The sequence below is a fragment of the Homo sapiens genome, chromosome 17, assembly GCF_000001405.40.
Source record: "Homo sapiens chromosome 17, GRCh38.p14 Primary Assembly".
NCBI classification, from domain to species: domain Eukaryota; kingdom Metazoa; phylum Chordata; class Mammalia; order Primates; family Hominidae; genus Homo; species Homo sapiens.
Genome location: NC_000017.11, coordinates 80,745,522 through 80,764,348, shown reverse-complemented (window position 1 = coordinate 80,764,348; position 18,827 = coordinate 80,745,522). Strand labels below are relative to the sequence as shown.

At 48.0% G+C, this 18,827-nt stretch overlaps 1 protein-coding gene across 2 annotated transcripts in view, besides 4 other annotated features; it reads right to left on the bottom strand.

The window, feature by feature from the left end:
- The window catches only part of RPTOR (regulatory associated protein of MTOR complex 1), a 421,531-nt gene that overhangs the window by 202,020 nt on the left and 200,684 nt on the right, over positions 1 to 18,827 (bottom strand). For both annotated transcript variants that reach the window (NM_020761.3, NM_001163034.2), the window contains exon 6: positions 10,164 to 10,339. In NM_020761.3, coding sequence (NP_065812.1) covers positions 10,164 to 10,339 — 176 coding nt within the window. The remainder of the gene's footprint in view (positions 1 to 10,163; positions 10,340 to 18,827) is intronic.
- Positions 2,116 to 3,315: an enhancer, noted in NCBI's record as "CDK7 strongly-dependent group 2 enhancer chr17:78734834-78736033 (GRCh37/hg19 assembly coordinates)". NCBI's record gives its function as "activates an origin of replication core promoter dependent on BRD2, BRD4, P300/CBP, MED14 and CDK7 cofactors, with strong dependence on CDK7, by STARR-seq in HCT116 cells {active_cell/tissue: HCT116}" and the evidence as "EXISTENCE:reporter gene assay evidence [ECO:0000049][PMID:35650434]".
- Positions 2,771 to 2,820: an enhancer, noted in NCBI's record as "active region_12942". NCBI's record gives its function as "activates an Ori minimal core promoter by ATAC-STARR-seq in GM12878 lymphoblastoid cells {active_cell/tissue: GM12878}" and the evidence as "EXISTENCE:reporter gene assay evidence [ECO:0000049][PMID:35858748]".
- Positions 15,057 to 15,556: an enhancer, noted in NCBI's record as "H3K4me1 hESC enhancer chr17:78722593-78723092 (GRCh37/hg19 assembly coordinates)". NCBI's record gives its function as "activates a minimal SCP1, AML or CMV promoter by ChIP-STARR-seq in naive H9 embryonic stem cells {active_cell/tissue: H9 hESC(naive)}" and the evidence as "EXISTENCE:reporter gene assay evidence [ECO:0000049][PMID:30033119]".
- Positions 15,557 to 16,058: an enhancer, noted in NCBI's record as "H3K4me1 hESC enhancer chr17:78722091-78722592 (GRCh37/hg19 assembly coordinates)". NCBI's record gives its function as "activates a minimal SCP1, AML or CMV promoter by ChIP-STARR-seq in naive H9 embryonic stem cells {active_cell/tissue: H9 hESC(naive)}" and the evidence as "EXISTENCE:reporter gene assay evidence [ECO:0000049][PMID:30033119]".

Genomic DNA, 18,827 nt, shown 5'->3' with positions numbered 1-18,827 from the left:
AACATCACACTCTGGGCCTGTTGTGGGGTGGGGGGAGGGGGGAGGGATAGCATTAGGAGATATACCTAATGCTAAATGACGAGTTAATGGGTGCAGCACACCAGCATGTCACATGTATACATATGTAACCTGCACATTGTGCACATGTACCCTAAAACTTAAAAGTATAATAATAAAATAAAATAAAATAAAATAAAATAAAATAAAATAAAATAAAATAAAATAAAATAACAAAAGAAGTCATACGGTCAGGACTTCAAGTTAGTTAAAGAGATTTTAGGTTTCTCTGCTATATATCAATAATCAGTTTCTAAAAAGACATCTATAGTAGCTATGTGCTTATATAAGTCAATTTTCCCTGTTCAGGTTGATGTCAGGATGAAACAATATGTATAAAGAGATTAGTTATTGGGATTAATGTCAAAGTTCTACAATGAAGTCAAATAAATGTGTAAGTGTGTACATGTAAAAAAAAATAAAAAATATAAAATATTTCCTCTTTAATCCAAGGATTTTAAGATTTTAGTTTTCAGACTTTTGTTAAAGCTGTCCTTTCGTTACTGAGTTCTAGCTTCATTGCGTGTGGTCTGCCACGGAGTTCACACGATGCTGATTCTTCCGGATTAGTAAAGCTTTCTTTGTAGTCGGGCGCATGATTTATTTTTGTGAATGGTCCACATATGTCCACATTCCCTGTTGGATGTATGGTCCTGTGTGCCTCTGTGAGGTCTGGCTAATTAATTCGGTGACAAAAGTCGTATTTACGTTGCTTCCTTTGTCTGTACTTGGTGTCTCTGTATCTAAGCACACTTCTCATTCATCTGCTTCCATCCACACTTCAGCTCCCATCTTATCTCGTTCGAGGCCACGTTGTCAGGTGCACACAGTCATCATCAGTATATACCTTCCTGCTTTCCTGTTCGTTTTACCACAATACAACATTTTTCTTTGCCCCTCTCAATAATTTATCTCAGCTTCTGCTTTAAGTCATATTGGGACTGGCCACCCCAGCTTTCTTTTAGCTCGTATTTCTCTTTTTCATCTTCTGATTTCCAACCTTTGAAATACATGTTCTTATTTTTTATTATTATTATTTTTTTTTAGAGACTGGGTCTTACCCTGTCACCCAGGCTGGAGTGCAGTGGCACAATCACAGCTCACTGCAGCCTTGAACTCCTGGGCTCAACTGATCCTCCTGCCTCAGCCTCCCGAGGAACTGAGACCACAGGCATAAGCCACCATGTCCAGCTAATTTTTAAATTTTTAGTAGAGACAGGGTCGTGCTGTTTTGCCCAGGCTTAAACGTTTTGCTTTAAATCTGTGTCTCATGGACAAGAGACTGCTGTATCATGATTTTAACCAACACAAGAATCATGGCCCTTTGAGAGGTGAATTCAATTCGTTTACAGTTACAACTTTATTTCAAAACATTTTAGCCATCGTATCTCACACTTTCTATTTACTAAGCCTGTCTTTTCTCCTTTTCTACGTTTTTTTTTAGAGAGAAGAAAATGTTATTTCCTAGATATTTAAACTTTGTCTCTGCCTCTCATGTTTCTCCCCTTCCTTCTAGCTCCATCCCTTTGGTGGGAACTCCTCAAACAAGCTTCTCAGCTTCCTGGTTTATTCTTGGCTCTATCCATAATGTTGCTTTTCAATCCATCTCTTCAATTATTTCACCAATTATATTTTTTATACTTAATGCTTCCAACTGGTCTTTCTTCCTGTTTCTTCTTCATATTTCCAATTGTCTTTTATCACTTTTATTTATTATTGGATTACTTCTCTTTTCACAAGGGCGGTAGGACAAACTCTTTCTTTCCACCCTCTTATTTTCCATCTTTCTGAGCCCCAGACACAGCACAGCAGGCCATGCCTATCAAGGGCAGTGGGAGGAGAGCCGAGTGCCCTCAGCCTTGCCTGCACCCTGGGGCCCTCGCCAGCTCCACTGTCTCCTCCGGCCTCACCCCTCACCCCAGCCCCCAGTGGGGACTCAGCCATCTCAAGGGACCAGCAAAGTCTCCGGCTGTGCTGCTGAGTGGGCTCCCTCCAGGATCATCAATCTCACTCTTTCCTGCAGCACCCGAGGACGGGGTTCAGCCGGGGAGTCAGCAGCCCGTGCCCCTCCATCTGCTTCAATTCCCTTTCTTACCGCATCCATCAGGTGGTTTTTACACGTCATCTTTTAAAACGGGAGCTCTATTACAATACATTATGATATTCATCTTAATTGAGTATATGTCAAGAGACTGGAACAGTGAGAGAACACTGTCTTGTTTGGGGAGAAAAAATATTTTCCTCTGGAAACGGCCTGGAAGCTGCCGCGGGGACTGTGTGAGATCCATGATACTGAGGCTCTACTTGGAAACGTCATAAAGCCGTTTCTCCAGACGCAAATTCCAAATTAAACTTGCCTACGACTAAGGTCTAAGATACAGAGTGGGATACTACAAAAGAGCATTTTATTCAATAATGTGTCCCGGTTACTTCACCCTCTGGGAGGACCAGTGAGCTCCTCTCCCTTCGCACATATGCAGGAAGACAAAGTCATCGGACTGTTGTTGAAAGGAAGCGGCAAAAGACCCGAGAGCACTGAACGGGCAGAAGAAAGTGTGTTCTCTGGCAAAGCAGATGTATTTTAGAAGACTCCTTGGAGAACACATGGTTAACTCTATCATCAAAACCACAAGAATTTATGTTTCTAAAGGTAATTCTGAATGATTCTTGGTTGAGTCATCAGGAAAAAATACGAAGCAAATGTCACAGCAAATGTCTGAAATGAGACAGGCACTGCAAACCACTTAGCCTGGCCAGACAGAGCCACGCTGAGCCTCCACCCAACCTGCGCGCCAGGAAACCCATGCATCTTCCGTCTCCTGCGGGCAATGCAGGAGCGAAACTTTCCACGCTGACAAATACACGTTAATGCTCTATCATTAACATTTATAGTCCTGGAAATCCTTCAACTTAATTGAAAGAAAGGAAGTAAGTTTTTTGACCTCTATTCAATCCAAAATAATGTTTATCATTTTCATTAATAGACAATACTAGTGCATGCAGCACAGTGCAATAGACATCAATCTGTTTTATAGCAAGTCCCACAGCAAATGAAGTCCCACTGGGTTATAATTTTCAGTAGTATACAAATAGACGCGTAATAAATCTAAAATGATATTATGCCACTCAATCAAAGAAGTAGAAAACAGCCAAGGGAAAAAATATATTTTGGATTCTTACAGTGTATTGATGTATATGGTGAGTAAGATAATCATTTATGTGGAAAGTAATGTCATTGCTCATTTTGGAATTATTGAAATCAGTTTCCAAAAATGAAAAAGACAGGCAAAAATGAAAAAAAATTAGAGAACAATGTCTTCCAACAAGTTCATCATCAAATAAGATTCATAAATACGCTTGCCACCAAGTACACATGTACACATTTTGTCCAAATGAAGCAAAGCTGTATGTTGTTTACCCAGCACACCGCATTCTGTAGCAGCTGTGCCAGCATAATGAGGGCAGCGTGCTTAGAAACCGTTTCTCTTATTTACATAGTAAAGGGAGGGAGGGAGGGAATCCACCTTCCCGAGCATCGCCCTTCTCCAGGTCACCTGCAGACCGGCAGACACGCACAGCCGTCATCTGCAGCCCAATCCTAGTTCCCTTTTCTGGAGCAGGAAGTGCCAAGCTATAGCTCCTGGGCCAAATCTGGCCAACTGCCTGTTTCCTTAAAGAAAGCTTGACTGAGGCTGGGTGCGGTGGCTCGTGCCTGTAATCTCAGCACTTTGGAAGGCTGAGGCGGGCGGATCACCTGAGGTCAGGAGTTTGATGCCAGCCTGGCCAACATGGTAAAATCTCATCTCTACTAAAAATACAAAAATTAGCCAGGCGTGGTGGTGGGCACCTGTAATCCCAGCTACTCGGGAGGCTGAGGCAGGAGAATCGCTTGAACCGAGGAGGTGGAGGTTGCAGTGAGCCGAGATCACGCCACTGCACTCCAGCCTGGGCAACAGTGAGACTCGGTCTCAAAAAAAAAAAAAAGAAAAAAGAAAAAAGAAAGCTCGACTGGAACACAGCCATGCTCATTTGTTTATATATTGCCTGTGGCTCTTTCGTGCTGCAACAGCAGACTTGGGACTGTGTGGCCCGAAAAGCCTAACCCAAGTGCGTCTGCCCCTTCACAGAACCAGGTCTGCCGACTCCCATCAGAGTGCCAGGCTGAACCTTCCCACCCGCATACTCCTGGCGCCTAAATCCCAAAGCCCTACGCTCCGGCTAAATAAAACATGGAACTTCAACATAGTGAAATATAAAATGATACTTACTAAGAGTCTCTAATGATCTAGGGCAGGGAACTCTAGTATAATGCGAAGGGTTAAGGATATGAAATCGTAAATTCTGTCCACTTACATCAGTGCAAAATGTACATGCACAGAAAAAAGACCAACAGGCAATACATCAAAAAGTGAACACTAGTTGTCCTTAGATGGTAAAATCTTGGATGATTTTTTTCTACTTTTAACTTTTTAGTAATTTTCTGAAAAGAATGTATCTTTCATTTTTAATTAGAAAAATTGACTTTTCAAAATGAAAAAATAAAACTAAAACCCTAAAAACATACGTAATTACTGTCTGACAAACTATCTCACTCTTCCATTAAAAAAAAAAACCCTGGTGGTTTTTAACTTAGCTCACACAAAACTACACATTTCACTTGATAATTCTTTAATGAATATAGTCCATTACCACTCACAGGCCATAGACACCTAGCAAAATGTCATGTTCAACCTAATTTCAGCACTTCAATATGGGAGAAAGCAGTTTATTGTAAAAGAGCCGCCACCTGAGACACCGCTCAATTGTTCCAGGCAGTGGTTATCTGATGACCACTGTCTGCCACTGTGGCATATTGATTTCAAAGTCCCTCTTATGGTAACTGTATCAGTTTGTTTTTCACTGCACTTCCTACTAAATGCTTACTTTTAAAAATCTGACTATGTCCTAACTCCTACAAGGATTTCAGGGGCTACTGGGATGACACATCATGCCTTGGTAGAGAGAAAGCACATTCCCTACTCAGAGGGCAGGCACCCATTTTAGAAATAACGAGGCCAGCAGCCCTCAGAGTGAAAGCATACTTCTTTATTTTACTTTTTTTTACAGATGGGGTTTCCCTGTGTTCCCAGGGCTGGTCTCAAACTTCTGGGCTCAAGTGATCCTCCTGCCTCGGCCTTCCAAGCAGCTGGGACTACAGGACGCACTGCCACATCTGGCCCAGGCGTCTTTGGGAGTGCACAGCTGTGCGCGGAGGGAAGCCAAGTCCTTCCCACTCATGGCAGAAAAACAAAATGCCTGAGAGAAACCCGTCAACTAGATGAAGTGCACTGGGTTTAGTGACAGGTAGCTGGAGTGGGGCGGCAGGGAAGGCACAGGAAGGTAGCGATGTCATTTCCGGTTCCCCTTGTGCTTTGTCTTTTTTCCTCCTTCCTTCACTGCTCCCCCACCCATCTGCCTGAAAACTTGCAAAAATGCCCCAGAGGGTCGCACCAAATACAGTATCCAGCCCAGAGCCTCTGGGCAGAGTCTAAAGGCAGAGCTGGTGTGGTGTTGATTCTGGAGTCAGGGGGCACCAAAGCAGTCATGCAGGAAACCGGGAGCGGGGACGGGAACATGGGAGAAATGAGGCCTGTTTCTCGGCAGTGTCCACTGTGCGTCTACAGAAGCTCCAGCCTACAGGCCCCTGGGTGATTTTCTATCTTTCTGCCCTAATCTTTTACCAGCTCAAGACCGCACTGATATGATAATGGCCTAATGGTCACCAAGGTCTCCCTATCATCACTTGGATCCTCTTTCTAAAACACGGTTCTGATGAAGTCATTTTTCTACCCAAACAGCTTCAGGGGCTCTCTTGTGCCAGAGTCCCAGGAGAAGTCAAGGTCCTCTGGGCAGCATTCAAAGCACCCCACAATGGACTTGGACTTCAGTCCACTCTCTGAGCTCAACCGCACTCCTGACGAAACCTTCCTCTCAGGTTCCACCTCCTCCAAGCAGCTTTCTCAAACCCTGTGGCCCTTAGCCATGGTTCTCTGTCCTCTGGGAACACAACAGCCCTTGGTGCCATAAGGTCACTTGGTCTTTGATCACACATTGCCTTGAAGGGTTCAGATTTTCATCTTGCATGAAGCATCCATTGAAATCATGAATTTTCAAGCCACATCTTATCTCCTCAACCAGAGGAGACATTTGTTGAGGGCAATATGCTTCTTAGGATCTCCTATAGTGATTAGCATGGGTCTTATTACATACACAGTCGGGACTGAATAAATTAGTTTTTGGGCAATGAATGGATGAACTCCTGAGTCAGGTGGACCAATCTCTTCCTGGGGTAACGTGAAATGGGCACTCATAAGCCTCTTTGGACAGGGATCAGACATACAGTACAGAGAGTTAAAAAGAACACTCATAAAGGTGAGAGGCTGCTGAAGCCCTACAATATCCTGGAAGACTACAATGAGGGGCGCATAGGAGGCCGTGGGAAAGGACAGAGGTGGGAAACAGAAAAGCCAGGAGATGCAGAGAAGAGAAACAGAGGCCCCAAAAGACCGTCTCTTCAGCAGTCTTAAAAAGAAAAGATAAATGTTTCAGGTGATGGATATCCCAGTTACCCCAATTTGATCATTAATGCATCGTATACAGGTATCAAAATATTGCATGGACCCCCCAAATATGGACAACTATGATATATCAATTTACAGAATACAAAAAATTGTCATTTTAAATTACCCAGTCTGTTGTATTCTGTTATAGTAACCCAAAACAGATTAAGACAAACAAGAGAAAGTAATGCGAAAGGAGAAACAAGCAGAAATAGAGGTAGGCACACTGTAACGTGTGCCTCATAAACTGGTACGTGAAAAGAGATCTGCGTTCAGAAAGGACTTCGACATTACAGAGCAAACAAACAAGGATGGAGAGCAGTTCAGAAACAACGTGGCGTCAGGGAAGGTGCCCTCAAGAGGGTCTTCCGCCTCACTGGATGTGCTGAGGTCGGAGGTCTCCCATTAATTTCTGGTTGGCACAAGCCCTCTCAGTTGGAGGGCTTCCAGCTTTCCCAATTTTGGGGAGTGCATTTCCGAGATCTTCAGGTATTTTCAGCTCTGCCATATTCTTGTTCTCTCAACACGGGATGCCCCCAGTCTGCATACTGGGGCCTCTATTTCCCTTCTCTGCATCTCCTGGCTTTTCTGTTTCCCATCTCGACCCTTTCCCATGGCCTCCTGTGAGCCCCCACTGTAGTCTTCCAGGCCATTCATTTGGCTCCAGCAGTGTCTCTCCTGCTATGGGTCCTGTCTACTGTGTTCTTTATTTCAAACATTACAGTGCACCTACCCCTATTTCTGCTTTGTTCTTCTTTTATAGTACTTTTTCTTGTCTGTCTGTCTGTTTTGTGTTGCTATAATAGACTACGACAGACTGAGTAATTTATAACAAATTTTTTTTGTATTCTTTAAATTGATATATGATAGTTGTATGTATTTTGGGGCTCCATGTGATATTTTGATCCGTGCATACAATGCGTAATGATCAAATCAGGGTAACTGGGATCTATCCAACTCATACATCACCTCAAACATTTATCTTTTCAAGACTGTTTTTTCTACCTCTCAGTGCCTCTTTCAGCAACATGAAGCTAAACTGGGTACTATGAGCGCTCACCTAATTTTTGGTTCGTATGAAGGTGCTTTCTGTGTGTGCTGATAGTTGTTACATTGGTATCCTTGCTGCAGGAAGACTGGTGGAGGCTTCTATTCCACCATCTCACTCCACCTTCTATCTTTTGTGTTGGGGCCATTACAATTCTTCTCTCCAAGCTATTTTGAAATATCCAATAAATTATTTCTGTTAACCGTAATCTCCCTACTCTACTATGGAATACTATAACTTATTCCTCCTACTTAACTGTATTCTTGGACTTTTCAAGCAGCTTCTCTTCATCTAAGTAAAGAAACTTCTTTCTTACAGTTCTGGAGACTGGGAGGTCCAAGGTCAAAGAGTGGCATCTGGCAAGGACCTTCTTGCTGTGCCATCCCATGGCAGAAGGTGGAAGGGCAAGATAACACAAGGGGCTGGGCTTGCTTTTATCACAACCTGCTCTCACATAACTAACCTACCCCTGTGACAGTGACATTAACCTAAATGTGAGGGCAGAGCCCTCATGATGCAATCACCTCCCAACACTGTTGCGTGGGGGATTAAGTTTCCAGCACATACATTTGGGGGAAGGCATTAAAACTGTAGCATTGTTCTCACATCTTGTTACAGGTGTCTTCCTTTATTTCTTTGATTGTATGTATTACACTTGTTTTACAATAACCCTGGTTCAGCTTTCTCTCTGCGTAGTGGCTGTGCTACTCAGGTGTCTAGTTTTGCCAAGTGAGCTCTGCTCCGCTGGGTGCAGAGGACAGTGGCCCTTTCAGGCTAAGTCTGCATCAGCCAGGTAAGGTGGGGGTACTGGCTGGACAGCAGAAACACTGCAGATCCCTCTCTGCTGCCCCCTCCAGACAGCTCCTCTCCCCTCTTTTTTTGTTTCTTTTTTTTTTTTTTTTTTTTGAGACAGGGTCTTGCTCCGTCACCCAGGCTGGAGTACACTGGCACAATCTTGGCTCACTGCAACCTCTGCCTCCCAGGTTCGAGCAATTCTAGTACCTCAGCCTCCTAAGTGGCTGGGAATATAGGCATGTGCTACCACATCCAGCTAATTTTTTTGTATTTTTAGTATAGACAGGGTTTCGCCATGTTGGCCAGGCTAGTCTCGAACTCCTGGCCTCAAGCAATCTGCCTGCCTCACCTTCCCAAAGCATTAGGGTTACAGGCATGAGCCACTGCACTTGCTATTTTTCTATTTTCTTTTTAGAGACAAGGTCTCCCTATGTTGCCCAGGCTGGTCTCAAAACTCCCGCGCTCAAGGGATCCTCCTGCCTCAGCCTCCTAAAGTGCTAGGATTACAGGTGTGAGCTACCACACCCAGCCCTCTTCCCTTCATCTCCAACTATTTTGGGGTGAGTAACACTAAAAGGAGGTCTCTCCCTGAATGGAAACCTGTAGCCCTCAAGTTTGGTGGGGAGGCCTAGGGACAGTTAATGTGAGGGCTGCGCTGCAGTCACCCCAACATCATGAACCCCCAGCCCTGGGGTCTGGGATCAATTTGGACTTGGCTGCAGAGGCAGAGCAGGAAGGCCAAGTTTTCCTCCCCCCTCAGGCTGCCCTGCCCCTCTGGCCCCTCCCAGGGTGTCCCTGGGGGCCCTTACTTTGCTGTGCTGTTAGCTCCCCGTGTCCGCCCAGGGCTGTGGGTGAGAAGGCAGGAGACTTGTCTAGAGTGTTAGGCCATCTTGACAGAAGCCTCAAGAGTGTCCTCGGCCGACAGCACGGTGTCTGCTGCACAGCTGCACCATTCGCACGGCACCTCAAGGGAGAGGTATTTATCTACTAGCCGGTAACAGCCACGACATATAAGCTTTTCAGCAAAACATAAAATGGGAAAGGAGATATTAAAGACTGGCAAGATGGTCTAGGGGAGAATATTGGATTTGGAGGCAGGAAACACACATATCCCACTGTGCGTTCTGCTGGGGATGTTGGGGCTGAAATGCGGCTTCTACCATCTTGGAATATCACACACATTTCTTCAGTTATGTTCCCGACGGCTATAACTTAAAAAGGATGGAGACAGAAAAATCATGGCTCTTTTTTCATTGCTAAAAATACATTGAAAGATTACGCTTCAACTCAAGCAAGGAATTAAATGACTTCCTTTTTCATAACAGCCTTTTCTTCCCCTGAAAGAAAGTCCAGTTTCCAGTATGACCTATCCTGGTACTAAGACGCCTCCGCAGTGAACAAAGGTAAGGAGAGGGTGTTCTTGGAAATCGCAAAGCAGTGAGCTGCCCACGAACAGATCAGAAGGAAGAAGGATCTTGAGCTCTCAAAGAGTAGAACCCAAACCTCCACCTGGAATCCCGAATGACACAAAAAGAAGGCGGGGACACTCATGTCTGTCACGTGGGCTCCTGGGACCAGGTGAATGCCTGGGGCCCACATGGGTTGGGGTCCCTGCGGGAGAGCCCAGTTGAGTGGGTCCCAGGGGCACAGCAGGGGCCACTCACCAGCGCAGGGCGATCTTGATGGGGGTGGTGAGGCAGGAGGTGAATAGGTCAGCCGGGAGGTCGGGGATCATGGGCAGCAGCTCGGTGGCCTCGCAGGCTGCCAGCTGGATGCAGTTTTTCATCGACGGAGGCAAAGGCATCTGAGCAAGAGGGTGATTTGGGTTGATTGCAGCTACCTGAAGGGCAGAACATTCGGGAAAAGAGAGTGTGATTTAGCTGCTGGTCACAACCAAATAGTAAGCTGCAGCTGTAACACAGAAGGAAAGAATAAATCAACTCAGGCTGTGAGTTTTCACTGGAAAGTCCTCTGGAGAGAGGCGTCGCTGCTGAACTGTCTCCAGAGACAGACTGTAAGCCTGGAAACCTGGCCGTCTCATTCCCAAGGCCCTTCTGATGGCACAGCCTGGTTGTGTCTCTGTCAACTCTGTTTTCTTCCCGGTTTTCCTCTTTGCAGGACCCTACTTACCCCAGGATTGTATCACTGTCCACCAGGTCTTTCATGGTGTCTTACGGTTTGTTTTAAACGTTCAATCTTTTTTTTTTTTTTTTTTTTGAGACGGAGTTTCGCTCTGTCGCCCAGGCTGGAGTGCAGTGGCGCGATCTCGACTCACTGCAAGCTCCGCCTCCCGGGTTCACGCCATTCTCCTGCCTCAGCCTCCCGAGTAGCTGGGACTACAGGCGCACGCCACCATGCCCGGCTAATTTTTGTATTTTTAGTAGAGACGGGGTTTCACCGTGTTAGCCAGGATGGTCTCGATCTCCTGACCTCGTGATCCGCCCGTCTCGGCCTCCCAAAGTGCTGGGATTACAGGCGTGAGCCACCGCGCCCGGCCTAAACGTTCAATCTTAATCTATCCTAACCTTATTTTGTTGTGTTTAATGACATGGGAAGACGTTCAGGTTATATGATGTGAACTCCATCACCAACACAAAGGCAAACCACAAAATGTGAGTTTGAGTGGGCTGACTAAAGCGACCCATCAAAAGAGACTGAAAAACAGACAGAGCGAGCACTCATCCCCGAGTGGGGGATTAGGGGGATTTTATCTCCTCCCATCTTCATCGGATTTCTCTAAATGTTCTACAAACAAATGTGCATTAATTTTGTAATCAGGGAGAAAGGTGAGGTGTTTTTGAATTCAAAATTTAATCTCTCTTTAAAGTAGGGATAGTAATGCCGGTTGGTATTTATTTCAATGAGACTTGTCACGTAAAAGTATCATATGTGAAGCTGATATCACAGTGCCATTTTAGGAAGAAAGGCACTAAGTGAATTGTTGTTTACTACTAAAATGCACAGAAAATTTCACTTTTTACCAAATGAAATCTAACTGAAAGTGTAACTCTTCCTTCTTTTTAAATAATGCATTACATTCAAAGGTTTAAAAAATGACAGGACTGTCTGATACACGAGTTTGCTATACCCTGCCATGGATACCAGGTGGGTTCCTGTTTTACCAAAAAACCACAGCATTCAACAAAACAGGATCCTTATACCACCAAGGACTAATTATACTAGCACTGAGATTGTGATTCCTTTCCCTGGCTACCTACGTTGCCTGCATGTGGCCATTTCGGTAATCCACAAGAGGTTTTGCTGTCGTTTTCAGAAATAATGAAGTTCACAAGAATTCCTGGCATTTTGGCCAGTAAAATTTAATAAGTATAACACATGAGGGATTATGTACACACACTGCTCTGCCTGCTCCTGGAAATAATTGAGAAGAGCTGGAAAATATCAGAACCAGTTCCACCAAACAGAATGCTTTCAGCTGGGGGAGGCACAGCAGCTGCGCACAAGCAATGCCTCCCTTCCGGGGATGCAGAGTCCTCAGACACTGTGGGCTGCATGCAGGGCCCACCTGCTGGAAGGGAGGCCCCATGGGCCCTGGGAGAGCTTGGCTTGCAAAGTCCCTCCTGCACTATCATCAAGGCTGGTCCTTTGTTGTGGGGAGAGGGGAGAGGGGAAAGGGTAGCAGGAAACAAAGGGACAGAAAGAGACAGGGAACAGACAAAACAAGAAGAACACACCACAGGCTGTGAGATGGAATCTGCATTGCCTTCTCTTCAGTTACCCTGAAATGTGATGCCTGGGCATGTCATGTAGATAGCTAAAGGAATGAAAACAGAAAACCCCAAAAATGCCGATCATACCGGGCCACACAGCTTGCAGAACTCCTTCATTCACGTGTCTACAAATACCTATAATTCGGCTGTAATGGAAAGCATTCTGCTGTAGGGGCCAACCTCATCTGCCCATCTAGGCTGGGGATGTGGAACAACAAGGTACAGAATGAGGCTTCAGACTGAGAGCGCCACCTGCTAATGCGGGGTCGTGGACCAAGCGGTCAGCATGAGGGCTGGAGCATCGCATGACAGAGACTGGTCGTCCCAGATCCAGGGCCTGGACGCTGTTTGTGACTTACACAATTCCTAGGGCTTGTTTTGTGAATACCACAGGGACAAGATCACTTTTGTTTACTCAGACTGTGGCAGGCCTCCATGAAGAGGAGGCGCTATTGTAAATGAATATTGTAAGTGACGATGAATATGGGTGGGGGTGAGATGTGTCCAGAGTGTGTGGCTTTTAATCACCGAGGGCTGCGATGCGCTCCCCGGCTTGACGGGGAGAGAATGTGTCTGTGTCTGCATTTTTGCTCCTTCCTTGCTCCTTACTTTTAGTTGCGTAGTTCTTAGTATTTCTCACGGCTCTTCACATATACTATTTCATCTGCTTTTTACCAACCCCATGAGGTTTCAGCTCCATGTTAAAAGAGCTGTGACGACGAGGACACAGAGTCCCCAAAGATGACACGGACTGCCCTGCAGCTGGGCCAGCACATGCGTCCAGAGTGCCGGGCACTGCCCCTGATTTTAGGGCTGCTTTTGCCCCATTATCCCATCTGGGTCCTTCTGAATCTCCACCAAGCACCTACGACGCCAACACGAAAGCTGCCGAGCCCTCTCCAGACAGCACGCCCAGTGCTTTCGGAATGAAATACACACAGAGCTGTATTCACTCACAGCCACCTCGCACCACGGTGATGGTACAGAACGCACTGTCATCTGACTCTGACAAACTTTGTTTTTAACATCTCAAATTTCTCAGCTGGAAGGTACTAATGACTGCTAGTTTTATTAATAACCCATTCTACCACAGGAACATTAAACCCAGAGTACAAATCAAATTCTCATATACTTAATAATAAATATAATTTAACTTTTTCAATAAAAACTGCAATTTCTAGAGGAATGAGGTTTTTTTTATGATGATAAATTACCTGTAGCATAAAATTTGCCATGTTAACTGTTTCAAATGTACAGTTCGGTGACATTAGGGATATTTACATGCCACGCAACAATCACCAAGAACCACCAAGGAGTGGGTTTTTTTAAACAAGAGGGAAGAGGGAAGGCAAAATCATGTTTAAAACCATTTCCTGGGCTCTGGGCTCCATAAGCTAAAATAGCATCGGCAATGCAACCTGCTGTACACAGAAAATTAGTTTCCAGGTCTGCTGTGACAGGCCCACTAAGCCAGATGATGGGTCCAGGAACGACGTGGACCTGCAGCTACTCAGACCCGCGTCACAACAGGTGGATGGGATAGGTGGGAGCGGCCATGTGTGCCTGGTGCTGGGAGGGCACGGGAAGGCTATGAGGAAGTGCTGACTCCTGCGCTTGGTGGAAACGCACTCTCCCTGGCCTCCGGAAAGGGGCTGGGAGGGAGGCATCTGAGGCAGACCTCCGTGGAGTGAAGCACACAGTCCTGAACTGTGGAAGGCGCCATTTGCGATGTCTGTCTGGGACTGCTGGCAGACTTGTGTTATTTTAATCAGCACCACTACCACTGGCCACGTAAGAATGGCTGGCAGAGGATTAAAAAGGAAACAACTTTAAGTGGGAGGAAATGGCCCTTTACGCAAAAACTAAGTTCAATATTCCTATTTTCCTTTTCAAAAGGACATGTATATAGCAGAAATATAGCAAAAAATATCAGTGTGGTTTACTAGTTTTAGGTTTTCTTTTTATATAACCAGGTGTGGTGGCTCACATCTGTAATACCAGCACTTTGGGAGGCTGAGGTGGGAGGATCACTTGAACCCAGGAGTTCAAGATCAGCCTGGGCAAGATGGAAAGACCCCATCACTCCAAAATTTTTTTTTAATTAGCCAGGTGTGGTGGTGCATGCCTGTAGTCCTGGCTTCTCAAGAGGCTGAGGTGTGAGGATTGCTTGAGCTCTGGAGTTTGAGACCAGCCTGGGCAATATGGCAAGACCCCTGTCTCTACAAAAAGTTGTTTAAAATCAGCCTGGTGTAGTGGTGCATGCCTGCAGTCCCAGCTACTCAGGAGGCCGAGGTGGGAGGATCCCTTGGGCTCAGGAGTTCAAGGTGGCAGTGAGCTGTGGTGGCACCACTGCACTCCAGCCTGGGTGACAGAGCAAAGCCATCTCTAAAGACAAACAAAAAAAGCCCCCAAAATGAAAAGCTTTTCTTTTTGTTAAGTTGCTCCTACGTTAAATTTACTTTCTAACCAGTCCTGAGAACTGAGCAGCAGGCTCTCCCGCCACAGCCTCCAAACACACACCGCAGCCCCTCCATCCACCCAACAGGTCCTCCCGCCACAGCCTCCAAACACACACCGCAGCCCCTCCATCCACCCAACAGGTCCTCCCGCCACGGCCTCCAAACACACACCGCAGCCCCTCCATCCACCCAACAGGTCCTCCCGCCACGGCCTCTAAACACACCCCGCAGCCCCTCCATCCACCCAACAGGTCCTCCCGCCACGGCGTCTAAACACACACCGCAGTCCCTCCATCCAACAGGTCCTCCCGCCACGGCCTCCAAACACACACCGCAGCCCCTCCATCCACCCAACAGGCCCTCCCGCCACAGCCTCCAAACACACACCGCAGCCCCTCCATCCACCCAACAGGTCCTCCTGCCACGGCCTCTAAACTCACACCGCAGTCCCTCCATCCAACAGGTCCTCCCGCCACGGCCTCCAAACACACACCGCAGCCCCTCCATCCACCCAACAGGCCCTCCCGCCACGGCCTCCAAACACACACCGCAGCCCCTCCATCCACCCAACAGGTCCTCTTGCCACGGCCTCTAAACACACACCGCAGTCCCTCCATCCAACAGGTCCTCCCGCCACGGCCTCCAAACACACACCGCAGCCCCTCCATCCACCCAACAGGCCCTCCCGCCACGGCCTCCAAACACACACCGCAGCCCCTCCATCCACCCAACAGGCCCTCCCGCCACGGCCTCCAAACACACACCGCAGCCCCTCCATCCACCCAACAGGTCCTCCCGCCACGGCCTCCAAACACACACCGCAGCCCCTCCATCCACCCAACAGGTCCTCCCGCCACGGCCTCTAAACACACACCGCAGCCCCTCCATCCACCCAACAGGTCCTCCCGCCACGGCCTCCAAACACACACCGCAGCCCCTCCATCCACCCAACAGGTCCTCCCGCCACAGCCTCTAAACACACACCGCAGTCCCTCCATCCACCCAACAGGTCCTCTCGCCACGGCCTCTAAACACACACCACAGTCCCTCCATCCAACAGGTCCTCCCGCCACGGCCTCCAAACACACACCGCAGCCCCTCCATCCACCCAACAGGTCCTCCCGCCATGGCCTCTAAACACACACCGCAGTCCCTCCATCCAACAGGCCCTCCCGCCAAGGCTTCCAAACACACACCGCAGCCCCCCCATCCACCCAACAGGCCCTCCCGCCACGGCCTCCAAACACACACCGCAGCCCCCCCATCCACCCAACAGGCCCTCCCGCCACGGCCTCCAAACACACACCGCAGCCCCCCCATCCACCCAACAGGCCCTCCCGCCACGGCCTCCAAACACACACCGCAGCCCCCCCATCCACCCAACAGGCCCTCCCGCCACGGCCTCCAAACACACACCGCAGCCCCTCCATCCACCCAACAGGCCCTCCCGCCACGGCCTCCAAACACACACCGCAGCCCCTCCATCCACCCAACAGGTCCTCACGCCACGGCCTCTAAACACACACCGCAGTCCCTCCATCCACCCAACAGGTCCTCCCGCCACGGCCTCTAAACACACACCGCAGTCCCTCCATCCACCCAACAGGTCCTCCCGCCACGGCCTCTAAACACACACCGCAGTCCCTCCATCCACCCAACAGGTCCTCCCGCCACGGCCTCCAAACACTGCAGTCCCTCCATCCAACAGGTCCTCCCACCATGGCCTCTAAACACTGCAGTCCCTCCATCGCTGCCAACCATTTGTGCCAAGCTTCTGAAATCTAACACTTTTCATACCAACCCACCTTTCTTCCAAGTCAGCACTAGAACATAGGATGGCATGGGGTGGTGGGGCGAGTCTCCAGTGTACAGGAGCCACATGAGAACTCAGCAGGTTTGAAGGGGACTTCCTTAGGGACCAAGAAGTCTGTGTCTTGTCCGGTGGAGAGACAAAGCTCCCGTGGTCCAGACGCTGCTGGGTTTGCATCTGCCGTGCCTATCTCAGCCTGCACCCTGAGATGCACGGGCGCTTGGCCCAATGCCTCCTGGAGCACACTGGACACTGGAAGCATTCTGTGGTTGCCGAGGGAGCAGTCGGACAGGTAGATGTAGAAAGAGCTTTATCCCAAATATGCCTACTAGAAACTTCATTTCCCCATTCAGTGTGATCATTGACAGAAACCCCACCTATTTAAGAAGCCCCCCAAAGTACGTTGATGTATAGACAAGAAGACATGCCCTCTGGCTGCAGAGGTTCCAACAGCAAGTGACAGGCAATGACAGTGCTCCACTCACCTGGTACCTGTCTGCCAGGCCCAGGAGGAAGCATGCTGAATTCCTTCTTTCCCACCACACTACTGGGTGCATGGACGAGTACACAGGAGAGCTCTTTGCTTTAGGGGTATTAGAACCAACAGGTTTTGTTTTGTTTTGTTTTTGTTTTTGAGAGGGAGTCTTGCTTTGTCGCCTAGGCTGGCGTGCAGTGGCGCAATCTTGGCTCACTGCAACCTCCACCTCCAGGTTCAAGCGATTCACCTCCCTCAGCCTCCTGAGTAGCTGGGATCACAGGCGAGTGCCACCACACCCAGCGAATTTTTGTATTTTAGTAGAGACAGGGTTTCACCGTGTTGGCCAGGCTGGTCTCGAATTCCTGACCTCAAGTGAGCTGCCTGCCTCGGCCTCCCGAAGTTCTGGGGTTACAGGCCTGACCCACCGCACCCACCCAGAACCTAGCATTTTTAAAAAACATCCTGACATTCAAGCCAAAGGGTTCTGCCAATGAACGTTCTTCAGGATTGCTAACCCAAGGGAAAAAAAAAAACTATTTCAACAGATGAGTTATTTCCTATACACTGTTTTGGTTTTGCATCTACCTAAGATATTGACCCCGTAATTGAAACTATCTTTCAGAAACAGGCCTGCGTGTAAGGCTGAGTGCTTGTGATTGGCCAAGCTTGTGAACAGTGCCCAGGCCTAAAAGTGACCAATTCCAGCCCAGAGCCATGGTTTTCCCAAACAGCAAGCCTAAGGTGAGCGTGCACCCAAAGGGGTTTCTCCGGGGAGCCTAGGGACTCAAACACAAGAAAGACTCTCATCTTCCAATGCTCTCCAGAGTCTTCTGGAGGATTTGGGAAGGATCCAGAAAAGTCTTGCGATGCGATACACAGCAACCGGATCCAAAAAAGACATCTGCTGCATTGTTCCCACGTGTGGGTAATGTGGAGTCAGTGCACGCGCAGTTCATGAGGTAAGCGGGCAGCACGCCCCAGGCCTGCCGTCCGCTCCCTGCAGAAAGCACCGCTGTGGGGGCGGTGGGGATCACCCGCAGAAAGCACCGCTGTGGGGGCGGTGGGGATCACCCGCAGAAAGCACCGCTGTGGGGGCGGTGGGGATCACCCGCAGAAAGCACCGCTGTGGGGGCGGTGGGGATCACCCGCAGAAAGCACCGCTGTGGGGGCGGTGGGGATCACCTGCACTGCACTTTTTTTTTTTTTTTTGAGATGGAGGTTTGCTCTTGTCACCCAGGCTGGAGGGCAATGGCACCATCTCAGCTCACTGCAACCTCCACCTCCTGGGTTCAAGCGATTCTCCCGCCTCAGCCTCTCAAGTAGCTGGGATTACAGGTATGCGCCACCACGTCTGGATAATTTTATATTTTTAGTAGAGACTGGGTTTCACCAATGTTGGCCAGGCTAGTCTCAAACTCCCAACCTCAGGTGATCCACCCGCCTTGGCCTCCCAAAGTGCTGGGATTACAGGCGTGAGCCACCGCGCCCGGCCTCACATTTTCTAAATAAAACGTCAACACTGGGCTCCTTCTTTCCCTTCTCAAATACATATAAGAGGCATCTTTATAATGAGATACGGTACTAACAACTCCAGAGGAGTCTTTACCAAGTAATTTCTGAAAATAGCATCTCCTCGGTAACACTTTTAGCTCTGCCTTAAAGTAACTTTTATTCTCAATTCAACAACACCTAATTACAATGGCCATGTTTGCAAAGTTCAAAGAAAGGCTGAGGCTGCTAAAGGAGTCAGTGTATTACTTATCCAACTCTATTAATAGTCAAAGATATTAATGTGGCATCTATCATGTGACACACAGTGTACCAAAAAGAGCAGATGCAAAGCAGAAATC